This window comes from Homo sapiens, chromosome 5 (genome assembly GCF_000001405.40).
Source record: "Homo sapiens chromosome 5, GRCh38.p14 Primary Assembly".
Taxonomy (NCBI): domain Eukaryota; kingdom Metazoa; phylum Chordata; class Mammalia; order Primates; family Hominidae; genus Homo; species Homo sapiens.
This window is the reverse complement of record NC_000005.10, coordinates 42,155,241-42,176,516: the sequence shown is the minus strand read 5'-3', so window position 1 is coordinate 42,176,516 and position 21,276 is coordinate 42,155,241. Positions and strand designations below refer to the sequence as shown.

General features: G+C 36.2%; 1 long non-coding RNA gene across 2 annotated transcripts; it reads left to right on the top strand.

Moving 5' to 3' along the window:
- The first annotated feature begins 1,171 nt into the window (after nucleotides 1-1,171).
- LINC02996 (long intergenic non-protein coding RNA 2996) lies at nucleotides 1,172-20,684 on the top strand. Of its 2 annotated transcripts, none has more exons than NR_104636.1 (4): nucleotides 1,172-1,364; nucleotides 17,071-17,180; nucleotides 17,464-17,490; nucleotides 19,106-20,684. It is a non-coding gene; the product is annotated as a long intergenic non-protein coding RNA 2996 (long non-coding RNA). The 2 variants fall into 2 exon arrangements; NR_104635.1 differs by lacking the exon at nucleotides 17,464-17,490 and adding an exon at nucleotides 7,930-8,054.
- The last annotated feature ends 592 nt before the right edge of the window (nucleotides 20,685-21,276 follow it).

Sequence of the window (21,276 nt, the reverse complement as noted above, 5' to 3'; positions counted from 1 at the left end):
TTCCTGAGGCTTCCCCAGCCCTGTGAAACTGTGAGTCAATTAAACTCTTTCCTTTATAAATTACCCAGTCTCAGGCAGGATTTTTTTTTTTGATGGCGTCTCACTTTGTCACCCAGGCTGGAGTGCAGTGGTGCAATCTCAGCTCACTGCAACCTCTGCCTCCCGCCAAATTCAAGTGATTCTGCTGTGTCAGCCTCCCAAGTAGTTGGGATTACAGGCATGTGGCACCATGCCTGGCTAATTTTTTTTTGGATTTTCAGTACAGACAGGGTTTCATCATGTTGGCCAGGCTGGTCCCGAACTCCTGACCTCATGTGTTCTGCCTGCCTCAGCCTCCCAAAGTGCTGGGATTAGAGGTGTGAGCCACTGCACTGGCCTCAGGCAGTTCCTTATAGCAGCGTGAAAATGGACTAATACAGAGTCAGCATAGAAATGAAAATTTCTCTCACCTGGGGTCTGCAGCAGCTGCTGCTATGAATGGAATTGAGTGTCAAGTCCTTCTGGCTAGCTGCTTTTGCCTTTCCCAAATCATAAGCCAAAGAATGGGAAGAAGGCACAACACTAAACCACTGCTGAGAAAAGTGCCAAATTTCTCTCTTCTTTCCCCTTCTATCTCTCATTTTAAAAAACAAACAAACAGAAACAACCACATCAAATCTCAAAACCTGCCTATGGCTTGTATATATCTGTTAACACTTTTATCTTGGAAGAAGAAAAGAGGAAAGTTTAGAGCTCTACTATTTTTAGAAGTAGTGGAAGAAAACATTATGTCCCTTTTGGTAAGTTTCTTTCCGAATATTTTCTTGAAAGTAAGTCCAAATGAAGTGCATGTGTTTTGTTTTTAAGCAGACAATCTCTACCAAAATATTGCATGTAGTGGTAGAATTGATTTTCCCTCATCTTTAATTAAACAAATAACTATACATAATGTTCTGGGTAAGTTATGTCAGGGCCCTTATTATTTTCCAGATTAGGGAGAAAATCCTAATAAAGAAGCAATTTTAGTGATACAGTTTGGCCACTGGTATTATCTCTTTAAGATTCAACTCAGTTTCTCTGAAAGTATCACTATTCCCTGTATGCCCTCTGCTCTGAGACCCAAATCCAGCTGGATTTTGGTGCTGCTTTCATTTAAAAAACTTCCTAAAGTTCATGGGATGATTTGATAATGACTCTTTGCGTCAGAGCTCTGTGTTACAAAAAAAGGTGAAGTCTTACTCAATTCAACAGTTTTTATGCAAAGTCCTCACGGGGAAGAGACTGATGCCCTGCAATGCCTCAGGACTCTCCAGAATGTTTTCACCAGCAAAAAGGCCCTCAGCAGATGCAGCCTCTCGACCTTGAACTTTCTAGCCTCCAAAATGGTAAAGAAATAACTTTATTTTCTTTATAAATTATCCAGTCTCAAGTATTCAGTTACAGCAACAGAAAATGAGCTAAGAGAATTACTGACTATTTGAAGAGCATTTCACAGTTGATGAAGCTCTATACAGACATGATCTCATGCTCTTCTTGCATCCACTCTGTTACATACCATAAAGCTGAGGATTACAGAAGTTAAATAATTTGCCCAAGGTCCCAAAGCTTAGTATTTTTCCTCAGATCTCTTGATTCTCAATTCTAGCTCTTTCTTCTCCAATGTTGTCACATAATGAATATATTACATGTTTGCAAGATATTCTCCATCTATAAGAGTCACTGCCAGATATTACAGAGAAAGCAAATGTATCAGAAACATGGTTTCATTGGTTTTCATGAGGTTATGATCTAACAGAAAAAACAGGACACAGAAAAGATATCTAAGAGTTCAAGGTTATACTTAAATATCAAGCCAGTAGCATAAACAGAAAATTGTATAAATGTTGAGAAGAAGGAAAGTTAGCTGTGAAAAAAGGTGGTCATGAAATGATGATCTGATTATCAGAGAAAGAATCAGGGAAAAAAGGACAGTGACATGGCTGCCGTGTAGAGAAGAGGAGGGTGAATCAAGGAACCAAAGTAATATCAAACCAGCTTCAGTTCTTTTCTATGATCTGCATAGAGATTTTCTCATCTTATTTCTACTATAAGCTGTGTAATAAGTAAGTAATCACATAATGTTTTGTTTTTTGTTCTTGTGGCTTATCACCATGAATTAGTTATAGTGTACTTTTCACCTTCATTATCTGAGATGATGACTTTTCTCTATTCAATACTTTATTCAACCAGCTAACATTTCCTGTTAGCTCTGATGAGCCAAACACTGGCAATGATATGGCACTGAGTATGCAAAGAGTAACAATACACTGCTCACTACCTTGAGAAGTGCCTATGTTGCAGAGAGAGAGATTCATATATAAAATACTTACACTTATCTGCATAGTGATAAAGATAGAAACTCAGCAATGACATAAAGAAGGAGTACCTACCATGCATGATTGGAGATGTGGTATTAGGAGGGGCTGATTAAGGATACATTGAAATTATCAGGCAAAGAAGGGAGAAGGAGCCATTCTAAGCAGAGAGGGGCACATGGCCAAAGTTAAGAAAGAAAGGAATGGCTGATGAGCTGAGAATTACTAGCAATTTGGTATTTTTTGTGATTATGATGCAAGGCAAAGGAGATATGAAGTTAGGGAGGTAGAAATTAGCAGGTGAAAATAGGTCTTGTAAACCATTTTGAGGAACTTGATTGAGCTTTAATCTTACAGACAATGGGATAGCACCAACAAGTTTAAAGCAGAGGCATTGTATGTAATTAGTAATTAATGAATTAACTAATTAGTCAATTAATAAGTGAATTAACTAAATTTGTACACAACTAATTAATCCTGATAAGCCACAAGAACAAAAACCAAAAACTTAGTTAATTACTAATTACATACAATGTAACTAGTAACATCATTGCTGCAATATACTATACATTATCTAGTACACCCAAAATATTTTTTCAGATTTTATGGAAAAATCATTTTCATTTTTTAGAAATAAACAATATGAAACTGATGAAATTTATGTAAATTCCTTTGTCAATGCCTCAACTTATATCTTATTAGCAGAAAATTAATATTTAGGAGAGCCTGATTAAATGTACTCAGTATGACAGGTGATTCCTGTTTGCCCTGCACTAAGATTTAGAGCCTGTTCATGTCACATGAGGACTGTAACCCAGCACAGGTTTATATGGAATGTTGTTCAGCTGTTTATCTAAAAAAGGAAGGATGAATATATCTCAGCAGCAAGAACCAATTAAGGAGGATAAACTGTTTTTTAACTTATATGAAACACTCCTTTAAAGAAAAACTCCCATTCTGTAGGTTGCCTGTTCACTCTGATGGTGGTTTCTTTCGCTGTGCAGAAGCTCTTTAGTTTAATTAGATCCCATTTGTCAATTTTGGCTTTTGTTGCCATTGCTTTTAGTGTTTTAGACATGAATTCCTTGCCCATGCCTATGTCCTGAATGGTATTGCCTAGGTTTTCTTCTAGGGTTTTTATGGTTTTAGGTCTAACATGTAAGTCTTTAATCCAAAGGGCTAATATCCAGAATCTACAATGAACTCAAACAAATTTACAAGAAAAAAACAGAGAACCCCATCAAAAAGTGGGTGAAGGATATGAACAGACACTTCGCAAAAGAAGACATTTATGCAGCCAAAAAAACACATGAGAAAATGCTCATCATCACTGGCCATCAGAGAAATGCAAATCAAAACCACAATGAGATACCATCTCACACCAGTTAGAATGGTGGCCATTAAAAAGTCAAGAAACAACAGGTGCTGGAGAGGATGTGGAGAAATAGGAACACTTTTACACTGTTGGTGGGACTGTAAACTAGTTCAACCATTGTGGAAGTCGGTTTGGTGAGTCCTCAGGGATCTAGAACTAGCAATACCATTTGACCCAGCCATCCCATTACTGTGTATATACCCAAAGGATTATAAATCATGCTGCTATAAAGACACATGCACACGTATGTTTATAGCAGCACTATTCACAATAGCAAAGACTTGGAACCAACCCAAATGTCCAACAACGATAGACTGGATTAAGAAAATGTGGCACATATACACCATGGAATACTATGCAGCCATAAAAAATGATGAGTTCATGTCCTTTGTAGGGACATGGATGAAACTGGAAACCACCATCCTCAGCAAACTATCACAAGGACAAAAACCCAAACACCGCATGTTCTCACTCATAGGTGGAAATTGAACAATGAGAACACATGGACACAGGAAGGGGAACATCACACACCGGGGACTGTTGTGGGGTGGGGGGAGGGGGGAGGCATAGCATTAGGAGATATACCTAATGCTAAATGACGAGTTAATGGGTGCAGCACACCAACATGGCACATGTATACATATGTAACAAACCTGCACGTTGTGCACATGTACCCTAAAACTTAAATTATAATAATAATAAAATTAAAAAAGAAAAACTATGAAAGAAGACAAACACAAACATACAAAGTTTTTGCGTTTTTATTGCTTTATTATTAGTTATTTAAAAATTATTTATAAGTCAAAAACATATTTTCCTAAAAAACATGAATGGTCCAGTTACCTGGACTCAGGACTAGGAATTATGAACTTAGCGCTGTTCTTGAAGCCAATTTTTCACTAAGTGTTCTGAAAAGCAGTAGCCTGTCTATGACTCAGCTTCTGTTAAAATTGGATTTTGGAGTTGTCGTGTTTTCTTGAGTAAAAAAAATGGAAAGAGTCCCACATTTCCTAAATGCAATCATGAGAGATACCAGTAATCAAAGAATTTAGATTCTGAGGATAGGACTATATAGGTTATCTAAGTCAATATTCTCTTTTGACCATTGCATTTGAGGCCCAGAGCAATGATATTCCACGTACGAGTACACTAGGAATTTGCAGAAGACCTACAATAATCTAGTTGGTCTAGGTGGGGGGCAAGGATCACACAGATGAAAGGCAGCACCAAAAAGAGAAAAGGAAGCATTCTGAGTGAATGAAGTGAGTTCTTTATGTGATAGGAAAAATGGGATAGGGAAAAAATAATGATTATGTTAACAGTAGACTCTGCCTGCATGGTGATACTTCCCCACTTAAGTTGGCCCTCATGGTACCAGCAGGTAAGTCTAATTTGAAACCTCTATTTTTACAACCATCTGTTTTTTAGTTTTACTGGTAATAGCAACAGTGTGGTATGAATATTTTAATTCCCTGCTCTCTGTCCATTAGTCTTCAATAACTGGTCCTGGCTCATTTCCTCCTTGAGTCCAGGACTCACCTTTAGAATTTCTTACAGTCTAGCTCTTTGGGAAGCCATGGCCAATGGGTCAGACTTAGCCCACCAAATAAAATTTCTTTGCTGTCCCTGGATTAGAATTGGGCATATTTGTTCCAAAATTTCCCTGTTACACTGAAAAGATAGTGAGATATTTTTGTTTAATACATATATTTTCATTGAATACTCAATTTTCAGTTGAGACTACTTACTCAGGCAAGTATTTCCCCACTTAGCTGAGAGAAGGTGTCAAGATGCCTTCCTCTGTGCCTTAACTCTGGAAGCTCTTATCCCAGTAAGCTGACTTTCTTTGGTATTACTTTGCTCTCTACTGGTTACTTTCATCATCCCACTCACAGGGAGGAAGATATTAATACCAGCATATAAGAACCTCACTTTTTTAAAACCTCAGTTTGTAAAAAATGAGCAATAAAAGTCCTGCCCTTTCCCCTGGTTTTATACCAGGTGCCTTGGTAAATGTGGCTTGTGTGAGGTTTTGTTTTCTTTAGTTGGTTGCCAAAGTTAACCATGCTTTTCACTGTTTGCCCTGTATATTTGTGACCTTTTCCATGGGGTGCTATTATAAGTCTTCCACATAGGTTTGAATAAGATGAATTTGCCTTCTCCTCTGTCTGGCTGTTGAAGCTGTCTCCGCATGGCTACCATACCCCCTGTGGGGGTGCAGGTAGAGAAAAGGTGATTCATTCATTCAGCAAACAAGTATTTACTGAATGCCCACTATGGGCCAGTATCTATACTAGAAATCATAGATGCTGTGGTTTGTCAAACAGAAATAGTTCCTAGCTTCATAGAGAGACAAGCAATAAGCAAATAAACAAACAAAAATGACATATTTGCATAGTGTGACAAATGTTTTGTAGGACAAGAACACAGGGCTATGAGAGAATATATCTGGAGGATCCATTTGAATTGGGGTGATTTAGGGAGGCACCTATGAGGAGGTAGCCTTTAAATGGAGACCTGAGGATGTGAGCCATAAGGAGTAAGGAAGACAAGTGTCTCAGGCAGTGGGAAAAGCATGAGAGTAGGTCCTAAGGTGGTGTCTCTATGTGAACAACGATCCCAACTCCCCTGTGAGGACTATCTCTGACTCTCAAAAAGGCATATTAGCTTTGGCAGGCATATAAAAATTCCAGTCCAAGAAAGAAGACCACCTCTAGAGCAGGTCTTCCATAAGAAATATTTTCCATCTCACTTAGGGTAACAATATGCCCATTAATTAATTTATAAATGTCTCACAGCTATATGCATGGACCAGGAATGAGGCTTTATGGTCACAGTAAAAACTTACTTTTGGGACTGCCATCTGTAGACATCTGCACTGCAAAGGCCAAAGTCGAGGCTGGAATGTCCCCTTACATTTTGGTGTCCTTGCTGCTATAGATAAAATGATTTTTTATCACTTTGTTCTTTGGGAACTAACATGCTATATATTCTGAAGGGAGTATTGTCCTGATACAGAAAAAGCATGCAAACACTGGGTGTTTTAACTGTAGAACATAAGAGAGAATGGTGGCAATGTTTTGGTTTGGTCTGGTTTTCCCTCAACTTATTCTACTTTTTAGACCAGATCATCTGGGTATTGACAGTCATGTTTTCACACTTCTCTTGGGGCATTTTGATTGCAATTCCAGAGCTAGAAAAAAAAGTAACATTAAAAAAAATCCAGGCAGGCTCTTATAAATAGTTGAATTAGTCCTATATTCAAAAAACTTTTTTTTTCCTAAGTAACCACTACTTGAACTATAACTTGGATGACCAGATCTGTCTAGTTTGGAAGTTTTTAAAAAGAAACAAAAAAAAAATGACAAGGTTTTATCCTGTATTGAAATTAGTCACATAATATGAGGAATAGGAAGAATTTTTCCAAGTCTCCAAAGGACGAGGTAAAGCATAAAAAGGAGTTGATTGCCTATGTTTTTACCAAAAAGAAGTTGCTACTAATTGTTCTACATTTTTTCAAAAAAATATTACAGGTGGTTGTTTTCACTGTTTTCAAATAGACTTAAAAAGAAGCAGGGGAAGGGGACAATACAAATAATTTATTTTATTTTGTAGAAGAAAAACAAATGATAAAGAAGGAATATTTCCTTTGCAACTACCACTCCAGTTTTTACTTCATCCATTGCACTTGAAAATTAAATAAATATCTATTAAGCATTTAGAATAATGTCAGGTCCATGCTATGTGCTGCACAAGTATTTGTTAACTAAAAAGACAAGGAAAACATGAAGGTAAAAAAGAAAGTAAAGAAGGCAAAAGAAGATAAGCAATGCTAGAGAAACTGTGGAGAAAATTCTAAAATGCTCAGAATTTGAAAAATAAAATTCGTTCAGAATGTTTCAAGAACCTCTATGATCTTCTTAAATTCAAGTTGCATCAATAGGGACTCTTAGATGAGTCCTATAGAAAGCAAAGTGGAATTAAACTACAAATTTCTAACTTAAATATGTCGTGAGCCTGTTCTCCTAAAGCGTATTACATTCATTACAAAAAAGTGCCCAACACCTCTTGGTTTTGATTAATATGTTGTAATGGGTACTGGACTAGCCCATCTACATTATACACATGTAAAACTAGACAACAGGCTATACATGACTGAAGTCTTTGAAAGAATGGAAACTACCAAAGGGAATCTGACATTTGTCTCATCTCCCTGCCTAGGACTATCGGTACTGAAACCCAGCAAGCTGAAATCAGCAAAACAAGATGGTCTTGCTAACTTGAGGAAGCTGTAGCAGCTGGAAGCTCCAGAGAGGAGGGGGCTCAGAGTCTGCACATCAATGGGGGTAGGAGGAGTTCTGCATAAGTTTTTGACCAAGGATAGGGCTTCACGTGAGCAAGATGAATTGTGTGAGGCTTACCAAAGAGTGGAGAATGGAACAGAGATGCTAGTGATCCAGAAGTGCCAAGAACATTGAAGTGCTGGCCCAGCCAGACTAGAAAGACAGGTTCAACACCTTAGTAACACGTCAGGCATTCAACTGAGACACCAGAAAAACCATGGTAGAGTATTGTAAGGTTATTCCATGTCTGAACTGGAAAGTGTGAAGTGTAAAATGGCATAATATTCACTGTTAATAGACTTGAATAAGTTAAGAAATATATTATTAAACCTAGAGAAACCACTAAAAATAATAAAAATATGTATAAATAATAACAGCAAAAAACAAAATAATAAAAAACTGATAAAAGCAAAAGAAGACAGAAAAGGAACAAGAGAGAGAGACACAGATAGGACAAATTTAAAATAAATAGCTAGATGGTACATATAAACCAAATCATATCAATAATTATAGCAAATATTAGTGGCCTAAGCACTCCAATTCAAAGGCAGAGATTGTCAGGCTGGATGAAAAAGTAAAACCAAACTACATTCTGCCTAAAAGAGACACACTCAAAATTTAAAGACATGAATAGATTGAAAACATAAGGAAGTTGGGCAATTGTATTAATATCAGACAAACTAAACATCAAGACCAAAAGTTTTAAAAATGATAAAGGGTCATTTAATAATGTAAAATAAAATCATCAGGAAGATTCAACAATCTTAAATATGGATGCTCCAATCAACAAAGTTTTAATTTGCATTTCTCTGATGGCCAGTGATGATGAGCATTTTTTCATGTGTTTTTTGGCTGCATAAATGTCTTCTTTTGAGAAGTGTCTGTTCATGTCCTTCGCCCACTTTTTGATGGGGTTGTTTGTTTTTTTCTTGTAAATTTGTTTGAGTTCATTGTAGATTCTGGATATTAGCCTTTTGTCAGATGAGTAGGTTGCGAAAATTTTCTCCCATGTTGTAGGTTGCCTGTTCACTCTGATGGTAGTTTCTTTTGCTGTGCAGAAGCTCTTTAGTTTAATTAGATCCCATTTGTCAATTTTGGCTTTTGTTGCCATTGCTTTTGGTGTTTTGGACATGAAGTCCTTGCCCACGCCTATGTCCTGAATGGTAATGCCTAGGTTTTCTTCTAGGGTTTTTATGGTTTTAGGTCTAACGTTTAAATCTTTAATCCATCTTGAATTGATTTTTGTATAAGGTGTAAGGAAGGGATCCAGTTTCAGCTTTCTACATATGGCTAGCCAGTTTTCCCAGCACCATTTATTAAATAGGGAATCCTTTCCCCATTGCTTGTTTTTCTCAGGTTTGTCAAAGATCAGATAGTTGTAGATATGTGGCATTATTTCTGAGGGCTCTGTTCTGTTCCATTGATCTATATCTCTGTTTTGGTACCAGTACCATGCTGTTTTGGTTACTGTAGCCTTGTAGTATAGTTTGAAGTCAGGTAGTGTGATGCCTCCAGCTTTGTTCTTTTGGCTTAGGATTGACTTGGCGATGCGGGCTCTTTTTTGGTTCCATATGAACTTTAAAGTAGTTTTTTCCAATTCTGTGAAGAAAGTCATTGGTAGCTTGATGGGGATGGCATTGAATCTGTAAATTACCTTGGGCAGTATGGCCATTTTCACGATATTGATTCTTCCTACCCATGAGCATGGAATGTTCTTCCATTTGTTTGTGTCCTCTTTTATTTCCTTGAGCAGTGGTTTGTAGTTCTCCTTGAAGAGGTCCTTCACATCCCTTGTAAGTTGGATTCCTAGGTATTTTATTCTCTTTGAAGCAATTGTGAATGGGAGTTCACTCACAAATGCAAATCAAAACCACTATGAGATATCATCTCACACCAGTTAGAATGGCAATCATTAAAAAGTCAGGAAACAACAGGTGCTGGAGAGGATGTGGAGAAATAGGAACACTTTTACACTGTTGGTGGGACTGTAAACTAGTTCAACCATTGTGGAAGTCAGTGTGGCGATTCCTCAGGGATCTAGAACTAGAAATACCATTTGACCCAGCCATCCCATTACTGGGTATATACCCAAATGACTATAAATCATGCTGCTATAAAGACACATGCACACGTATGTTTATTGCGGCATTATTCACAATAGCACAGACTTGGAACCAACCCAAATGTCCAACAATGATAGACTGGATTAAGAAAATGTGGCACATATACACCATGGAATACTATGCAGCCATAAAAAATGATGAGTTCATGTCCTTTGTAGGGACATGGATGAAATTGGAAACCATCATTCTCAGTAAACTATCGCAAGAACAAAAAACCAAACACCGCATATTCTCACTCATAGGTGGGAATTGAACAATGAGATCACATGGACACAGGAAGGGGAATATCACACTCTGGGGACTGTGGTGGGGTCGGGGGAGGGGGGAGGGATAGCATTGGGAGATATACCTAATGCTAGATGACACGTTAGTGGGTGCAGCGCACCAGCATGGCACATGTATACATATGTAACTAACCTGCACAATGTGCACATGTACCCTAAAACTTAAAGTATAATAATAATAATAAAAAAAGAAAAAAAAAAAAAGAAAAGAAAAAAAAAAACAAAGTTTTAAAACTTATGAATAAAAAATTTATAGATCTTAAGAGAGAAATAGAAAAATCTACTGCCATAATTGGGAATTTTAATAAGCCCCTCTCAATAACAGATAAAATGACTAGACCAAAGACATGATTATGGATACAGTAGATCTGAATAACACTATGAGACAATTTCACTTAATTGATGTTTATAGAACATACACCTAACAGCTCCAGAACACAGTCTTTTAAAGTACGCATACAATGTTAACCAAGAAAGACAATATCTTGGATGAAAAACATATCTGAATAAATTTTAAAAGATTGATATTCTCTGACTACATCATAATTAAATAAGAAATAAAGTCTTATTAAATATATTTTCTTTAAATTCCCAAATATTTTCAAATAAAATGATATACATCTATGGGTCAAAGAAAAAATCATAAGGAATTATGATTTCTAACTGAATGATTATGAAAATACAATATGTCAAAATTTGTAGGATGCAGCTAAAGCTCCAGTACAATCTGGAGTCCATCAAGAGAAATCAGAAGCCACATCTACCTCTGCCTATAAGCTCGTTGACACTGATGACCTGCTGAGGAAGCTGAACAGGCTTCTTCATGAAGCTGCACAGGCATCTGACTCAAGAGTCAGAGAAACTGCCTAATCAAGAAAATAAGAGAGAAGATAAAATATAGGAAATTAGAAATGAAAAAAGCAACATGACAACTGATACCACAGAAATAAGAAAGATCAGCAGATACTATTCTGAACAATTACATGACAACAAACTGGAAAACATAGGAAATGGATAAATACCTGGAAACATACAACCTGCCAAGATTGAATCAGGAAGTGATAGAAAACTTGAATAAATTTATCACAAGTAGTAAGAATGAACTGGCAATTAAAAGTCTCCAACAAAGAAAAGCCCAGGACCAGATGGATTCACTAGTAAATTCTACCAAACTTACGGAGAAAAACTAATACTAGTCCTCCCCAAATTATTCCCAAAAGTTAAATAGGAGGGAATTCTCCTTAACTTATTTTATGAGGTCAGCATTACCCTGATTCCAAATCAGACAAGGATGCAAGGAAAAAAAAAAGAAACCTATGGGCTAATATCCCTAATGAACATAAATGCAAAAAATTCTCAACAAAATAGTAGTGAACCAAATCCAATAGCACATCAGAAGACTAATACACCACAATGTAGTAGGGTTTATCCCAGGGATGCAAAGATAGTTCAGCATGTACAAATCCAAAATGTCTCAACAACTAGGCATATAAGGAATATACCTCAACATAATAAAGGCTATATATGTTAAGCCCACAGTCAGCATTTAACTGAACAGGGAAAAGCTTAAAGCTGTTTCCCTAAGAATTGGAACAAGACAAGGATGCCTGATTCACCGCTCCTGTTCAACCTAGTACTGGAAGTCCTAGCCAGAGAAATCAGGCAAGAAAAATAAAAGGCATCCAAATTGCAAAAGAAGTCAAATTGTCCCTCTTTGTTGTTGATATGATCTTATATCTAGAAAAAACAAAAGACTCCACCAAAAAACTCTTATATCTAACATATAAATTTAGTAAACTCTTATAACTAATAAATAAATTTAGTAAAGTTGCAAGGTACAATATCAACATACAAAAATGAATGGTCTTTCAATGTGGAAATAATGAAGTAGCTGGGAAGGAAATTAAGAGGGAAATCTCATTTATAATCTAATTTATAATAGATAAATAAAATAAAATAGGTAGGAATAAATTTAACCAAGGAAGTGAAAGACCTATACAAGGAAAACTACAAAACACTGAAGAAAGAAATTGAATAGTACACAAATAATTGAAAAGACATCTTATGCTCATGAATCAGAAAAATTAGAATCATTAAAATGACTGTATTACCCAAAGCAATGTACATATTCCGTGCAATTGCTATCAAAATATCAATGTTATATTTTACAGAAATTTTTAAAAATCCTAAAATTTGTATGAAACAAAAAAGAACTCAACTATCTAAAGCAAAAAGAATAAAGCTGGGGGCATCACACTACCTGACTTCAAAATATATTGCAATGCTATAGTAACTGGATATCTACATGCAGAAGAAAGAAACTAGACCCCTACCTTTCACCACGTACAAAAGCAACTAAAGATAGATAAAGACTTAAGCAAAAAAACTCAAAACCGTTAAACTACTGGAAGAAAACATAGGGAAACACTTCAGTACATTGGTCTAGGCAAAAATATTATGATTAAGACCTCAAAAACACAGGCCACAAAAACAATTGTAGACAAATTGAACTGTATTAAACTAAAAAGCTTCTTCACAATGGAAACAGTTAATGGAATAGAGAGAAAACCTATTGTTGAATGGGAGAAAATACTTGCAAAGTATTCATCTGACAAGGGACTAGTAAAAAGAATATGCAAGAAACTCAACAGTAAAAACAAAACCTATTAAAAAGTGGACAAAGAACATGAATAGACATTTCTTAAAAGAAGAGATACAAATGGCCCACAGATATATGTAAAAATGATCAGCATAGCTAGTCATCATGAAAATGCAAATCAAAACCACAAAGAGATATTATCTTATTCCAGTTAGCATAACTATAATCAGAAAGATTTTAAAAAACATGCTGGTGATGATGCGATGAAAAGGGAACTCATACACTTTGGTGGGAATGTAAATTAGTACAGCCAGAATACAAAACAATACAGATTTTTCTTAAAAAAACTAAAAATAGAACTACTATATGGTCCAGCAGTCCCTCTACTGTTTACTTATCCAAAGGAAAATAGTATATCAAAGGGATACCTGCATCTTCATGATTTCTGCAGCACTATTGACAAAAGCAAAAATGTGGAATCAAGTGAGCGAAATGTTCATCAACAGATGAATGGATAAAGGAAATGGGATATATATATACACAATAGAATACTATGTTATCATTATAAAGAATAATATGGAGAATGAAATCATGTCATAGAAAAGAAAGAAATTATGTCACTTGCAGCAACTGAGAGGAGTGTGTCAGTAGGAGAGAGAGTGTTAAGAGACATTGGTTAACAGGTACAAACATAGAGTCGGATAGAAGAAATAAGTTTTAATGTTTGATAGCAGAGTAAGGTGACTTTAGTTAACAACAATGTGTTGTATATTTCAAAATAGGTGGAAGAGAGGACTTGAAATATTCTCAATACATAGATATGATAAATATTCAAGGTGAAGGGTATTTCAAATACCCTGACTTGATCATTATACATTTTATGCCTGTAATAAAATATCACAGGTAACCCATAAATAAGTATAATATTATGTACCAAGAAAAAATAGTGTACAAGACTTCCACATTAAATCTATAAAATATTACTGAATTATTGAATATCTATCTAGATAAATGAAATGATATATCTTATTGATAGACTAGATCCCTTAACACTGTTAAGATACACATTTCCCCAAATTGATTTATAGATTTCTATAATACCAATAAAAATTTAAGAGGCTTTTGAGGTAGAAACTGACATGCTCATCCTAAAATGTGTGTGAAAATGCAAAAGACCTTAAATAGTCAAAACAATGTTGAAAAAAAAGAAAAAAGTTGAAGAATTTATCCAACTGGATTTCAATAATTAACTATAAAGCTTAAAAGAACAGTATGGTATTGGACTATATTAAACTAAAAAGCTTCTGTTCAGAGTAGAAATATAATTCAATGGAATAGAATATAATTTAGAAATCGACAAACCCGCATATAATCATTTGGTTTTTGATGAAGGCACACACAATACAATAAATAGCACTAGAAAAACTGAATATGCATGTGGAAATAATAAATCTTTACTCTTGGCCAGGTGTGGTGTCTCATGCCTGTAATCCCAGCACTTTGGGAGGCCAAGATGGTTGGATCACCTGAGGTCAGGAGTTCGAGACCAGCCTGGCCAACATGGTGAAGCCCCATCTCTACTAAAAATAATAATTAAAAAATTAGCTGGGCATGGTGGTGGGTGCCTGTAGTCCGAGCTACTTGGGAGGCTGAGGCTGGAGAATTGCTTGAACTTGGGAGGCGGAGGTTGGAGTGAGCCGAGTTCATGCTATTGCACTCCAGCCTGGGCCACAACAGTGAAACTCCATCTCAAAAAAAAATATTAAAAAAATAAAAAAATCATTACTTTTTTCTCATGCCACACATAAAAGTAATTTGATAAATATCATATACCTAAAAATGAAAGCTAGAATTATGAAAATTCTGAAAAAAAGGTTCAGAGAAAATATTTCTAACCTTTGAGTAGAAAAATATTCTTAGGACACAAAAAAGCATGAACCTTTTTTAAAAAGCATTGATAAATTGGACTTATTTAAAATTAAAACCTTATCCTCTTCCAGACACCGTAAAAAAAAAAAAATGAAGAATGAAAAGGCAAGCCTTCAACTGAGGAAAAACATTTAAGTAACTCTCTTTCTCAACTCAATAATTAGACAAAAAACAATCTCAAAATGTGCAAAGGCATGAATAGACGTTTCACAAATTAAGATACTTGGATTGGTAATAAGCACATAAAAACGTACTCAGCATCATTAATAATCTGGGCCAGGTGTGCTGGCTTACTCCTGCAATCCCAGCACTTTGGGAGGCCGAGGCGAGTGGATCACGAGGTCAGGAGATTGAGGCCATCCTGGCCAACATGGTGAAACCCCGTCTCTACTAAAAATACAAAAAAATTTAGCTGGGCATGGTGGTGCATGCCTGTAGTCCCAGCTACTTGGGAGGCTGAGGCAGGAGAATCGCTTGAACCTGGGAGACAGAGGTTGCAGTGAGCCAAGATCAAGCCAGTGCACTCCAGCCTGGTGACAGAGTGAGACTCCGTCTCAAATAATAATCATCATCATCATCATCATCATCATCATCTAAGAAATGAAAATTAAAACCATAGTGAGATACCATTTCATGCCCATTAGAATACATAAAATTTAAAAGACTGAAAATATCAAATGTTTGTGAGGATGTGGAGTAATTAGAAATCAAAAGAAATAAAAATACATCCTTACAAAACAATTGGTACCTAAATGTTCATAGCAGCTTTATTCATAATAGCTAAAATTTGGAAACCACTCAAATGTTTATTAGTAGGAGAATGGAAAACAAAACATGACGTATCCATTCAACAACATTTTATTCAGCAATTTAAAGGAACAAACTAGTGATAAATGCAACAACATGGGTGATTCTCAAAAATTTTATTGTGTGAAAAAAATATACAAGAGTACACTCCCTGTTTTCCACCTATATTATATTCAAGAATGTGCAAAATCAATCTCTAGTGATAAAAATAATATCAGTGGTTACCAAAAGTGGGGGCAGGAAGGGTGAATTTATTGCAGAGGAGCATAAGGGAATTATCTGTAGTGATAGACATGTTCTGGAAAGACAGATAGATGATAGAAAGATAGATTAGATAGATAGATAGATAGATAGATAGATAGACAGACAGACAGACAGACAGATCTAGATATACATATTAGAGACAAGGTCTTGCTCTGTCACCCAGGCTGGAGCACAGTGGTGCCATCATAGCTCACTGCAGCCTCAAACTCTTGGGCTTAAGGAATCGTCTCTCCTCAGCCTCCTGAGTAGTTTGAATTACAGGTGCACACGACCACAACCAGCTATTTTTTTTAAGTGTCTGTACAGATGGGGTCTCACTATGTTGCCCAGACTGGTCTTGAACTCCTGGCCTCAAGCCATACCTCCCATCTCAGCCCCCAAAGTTCTGGGATTACAGGATGAGCCACTATGCCCAGCCCTGAGTCTATATATTTTTAAACGCTCATTGAACTGCACACATAAAATGTGCATTGTTGTGTAAATTGTACTTTGTTCATGTTATCTTAAAATGGTGACTTTGGGCCATTATTCATGCAAAATCTCCAGGCATTGTTCATTTACTTATTTATTCCCATAATTATTTCATATTTGTTATAAACAAGACAGATACAGGCTCTTTCCAAAGCTTTCAGTCCGGCAAAGACAACAATTGAAGTTCTCTGATCACAAATAGAAGTGATGAGTATTTAATAAGGAAATTCAGAGCACCTAACTCAGTCTAGAATCAGAAAATGATGCCCAGGTGAGGTGAAGTTTTAGCTGAGACTGAGAGAATGATTAAGATGTAGCTTAAGACAAACAAGGGCAAGTCAAATCCTGGATGTGAGAGAGTGTGGGATGTGATAAAGGAACATGAAGAGCACAGTACATGTGCAAATAGTGGCCATATAGGACCACGATGTAGATATAGGAGAGAATCATTAGAGATGCTAAGGCATTTTAGAGTTCATTCACTGAATGATTGGAAGTATTAAAAGATTTTAAAAGAGAAATGTGATCATACTTTATTTTAGAGACATCATTCTGGCTGCATTATGAATGGATGGTTTGGAGGAAGAATGTGGATAGCTAAACAAGAAGGAGAATAGAAAGAAACTACTCTTAAGACTATTGCAATATCCAGGTAAGACATGATGGTGGCTTCCATAAGGGATATAGCAAAGAACGATGAAGAGCAGGGAATGAATATGAGAGATTCTAAGAAAGTCAATTAATTGAGATTATACATCGGGATGAGAGAAGGAAGTGATGGTGCCCGGGTTCTGGCTTCAGCAAACTGAGTAAATGATAGTGCTGTTTCTTGAGCTAGGAACCTGGGAGGTGGAAAAGGTCATATGGCAAAAATGATGAGTTTGGTTTGGAGATTACAGAGTTTGAAGTATCATGTTTCTTTTTATTTTCCTTAGTGTTATCTCAGGACCAAGGAATTAATGGTAAGCTCTATCTATTTCACTTAACTGACTTCAAGCTATTCAAGCAATATGTTCAGTATTAAATGATTTATCAGATTATACCCCCAAATTAATTGACTCTGGTTAATTCAGTGTCTAATTAGGCCACATATTCCCACTGGGAAGAATTTTCTTTCTTCCCTTTTTTTCTGTTAAGACTGAACCTATAAAGCAAAGCACTGACTTCCCCATTGATTCCAATGGTCTTCACACAAATGCAAGAGCAGATGGCTTGTAAAAGTAAAATATAAAATTGTCATGTTCATTCTGTGCTCCCAAGGAGCTCTCTCAGGCTGGGAGAATGTGGCCAGGCATGGCAGAAACTAACAGTCTAGACAACTGTTTTTAGAACATGGAAAAAATAATGAGAGGTGATGAAACACAATCTCATTCTCACACATCACCAGTTCCTTAGGAAGGCCAGCAAAGAGCAACACTCAGCAGAAAGACAGTCTGCACTGCTCAGGAAACCTTCTGTTTCAATAACTGTTTACAGCTAGAGCAGAACAACGGGGCTGAGGCCTTACTATATTCACTGGGAAAACTACTGGGGCCTAGATCATGCCTTTCATTGTTGCAGTTCTTCAATCAATTGATTGGGTGCTTTAGCTTCCTTTTTACTTCAAAATCCCAGAATAACTCCATGGTGTCAGAGTTGGAAAACCTACCAGCAAAAGGGCCTTCTAACCCACCATGCACATTGTCAGATTCAGTTGGTACAGACACCAAGTCTTGCAAAATTGGAAGATATGTGATGTTGTGCCCCCAGTTTCCCTTGTCCCTGTTTTCCTAGCTACCTAGGGCTCTTATGCTGTCCCTTCCATAATGGAAGGAGAATTTGGTCAAACAGAAATGTTTCATTCACTCAATTTGTTTTCAGGCCCAGTTTATTTTAAAAGAGAAGTTTGGAGAAAAAAAATATTTATCTAAAATGAATTAGCCACTAACATACTATGAAGAAATTTCTATAGGAATAGAAAAGTGAGAAATATTAAAAAGCAAATGGACCTTCTCTTCACCCTCATAAAGGTTCTAAGCGGGATTTGGTGCTGGGACTCTTACAGTTTATGGCCAGCAGCTCATACAAGGTAGTGAATCAAAGGAGATAAGGTATCAACTTTATCATTAGTCAAGTTTGTTTGGGTAGCCTTGCAGAGTCTCTAACTGTGCAGAGACTTTTATTACCCTGCCCACCCTGAATCGTGAATGTAGAACCTGGAAATTTGCAACTTGAGGCATTTACTGCAAGGGAGAAGTAGGCCATATGAAAAGACAAGTAAAACATTATTTTACAAATAAAATTTTACAAGAGACTTCAGATGTTGGAAGAATTGACTTATCAAATAAAAAAATAAGATGTTTAAGTTATAAAACCACCAATTTCCCAAGGTTATAATAATATGTCGATGGTGAAGAAAATGGTATATAATCAAATAATTACTAAATCTGCAAAGTTGTTACGTATCAGTACTGCAAATGACAGGGATAGAGTTATTTGTGTTAGAAAATCAGCACCTTGAAAAACAGGAATCAAGGTTTCATCTATGGGGGACCTGTGCCAGACAGAATGACTCATTTTGATTTTTGTTCTTTCCAGGTGCAATGTGCTTTGTTTCTGACTGCAGACTATAATGTTTATTCCTATTGGGGGCAGAGCAAGATTTCAGTTTCTTTTCTCAGCAACAAGAAAATACTCTGTCTGAAATCAAGCAACTTCTGGGAAGACCAAGAGTGATGGAAACTAGAGTTACAAAGCAAAAACCCTACATCCTGAATGCCCAGCCCGGTCAATGAAATTTTTCTGTCTCATTTATCAGCTAACTTGGTCCTCTTCCCCTGGGAACAAAACTGAGAAGGGTTAAGAGATAATGTGGAAACAAACTCCCCAGCACTTGCCTAAGAGGGCAGCTGTGTACCCAGACCTTCTTTCCTCTATGTCATTGTACTAGAAAGAGAGAGTTCCATACTCTTTAATCTGAATAGTTGGCACTCACTTAAAAAAGAATGCAGCCTGATTCCTCTCTGCCCCTCTAGCTATTTCCAGAAAGTTGTTCATGGGATGAATTGGTAAGTAAAGAATTCAGACACTGGTTCTGATTAAGGGATCTTATAAATGATTTATAACCTTTGGGAACATCAAAGACAGCACTCATAAGCCAGGCAAGCTAAGGGGTGCTCAGGAGTAAAATGCACCTCCCCATCTCACAAATCCATTGTTTTGATGAAAGGATAAGAGGCAGTTGGCCTGGGAAGGTGAAAAGGCAGGAAAAGAGTGGGAAGTCAGCTCCTAGGATAATAACCACATCCACAGGCATTGTCTCCTTTCACATATTTACAGCTTTTCTTTCTTATCTTTCCACACCTCTATATTCAGTTATGTATGACCTACTAGCAATTTACAGCTGCTTTAAATGCATACATTTCAGGTAGGGTGTGTTGACTTATGCCTGTAATCCCAGCGCTTCGGGAGGCTGAGGTGGGTGGATCACTTGAGGTCAGGAGTTCAAGATCAGCCTGGCCAACATGGCAAAACCCCATCTCTACTAAAAATACAAAAATTAGCCAGTCTTGGTGGTGCACAGCTGTAATCCCAGCTACTCGGGGGGCTGAGGCAGGAGAATGGCTTGAACCCAGGAGGCAGAGGTTGCAGTGAGGTGAGATCACACCACTGTACTCCAGTCTGGGCAACAGAAAGAGACTCCATCTCAAACAAACAAACAAACAAATAAATAAATAAATGCATACATTGTATCAGAAATTATCTCCCATATTGATGAGTCTTCCATGGGCATCTAATTTAAATATTTTTTTCTGAAAAGCAAAAGGTGCTCTATTATGTTGCTGGTGAGAGTGCAAAATGGTATAGCCTCTAAAGAGATTAATGTAACAATAACTGTTAGAACCATATATGCAATCACCCTTTGACCTAGCAACCTCACTTCTAGGAATTCATCTTGAAGACATATCTCTCTATATGTAGGCAAAATGGAAGCTATTCAATGTTACATTGTTAGTAATAGCAAGTTACTGTCTATTTTTGTATCTTTCAAATACATGTCTATTTATGTGAAAGGATAAACTGTGGTTTATCCACAAAATGAATTTTTATGAAGTTGTAAAAAAGAATGAGTGACATGTCCATGAACTGTCATGGAGTGATTTCCAGAACGTATTTTTAACTGAAAAAAAAAAAAAATCAAAGTGCAGAAGGGTGTATATGCTATGCTACATGTGCATAAGAAAGAAGGAGGAATGAGAATAGATATCACAAATTTGCTTACTTTTGTGAAAACAAAAAACAAATACGAAAGTAGAAAGGACATATAGAAACTAATGAAAATGGTTATCCATTGGGTAGAAATGGGAATGGGTGAAAAGCTAAAATGTTTCACATATTATTTGTAATTTGAGTTATGCAAATGCTGTACATATTGAAACAATAAAACTGAATTATTAAAAATAAAACTAAGGTTAGAAAAGCAAACTCTAAAATTGAATATGAAGATAAAAAATGAATCTGACTTCATATTAAATTGAATATAAATTCATATTAAATTGAATATTAAATTGAATATTAAATTCATTAAATTGAATATTAAACTGAATATTAAATTCATTAAATTGAATATTCATATTAAATTGAATATTAAATATAGCTATGCAAGGAGAGGAATTAATTCACATACTTTTGAAAACATTTGTTTTATCTTAATAGGGTCCATTATAAAAGAAAAAAGAACTGTAAAGAAATATTAAGCTGTACATAAC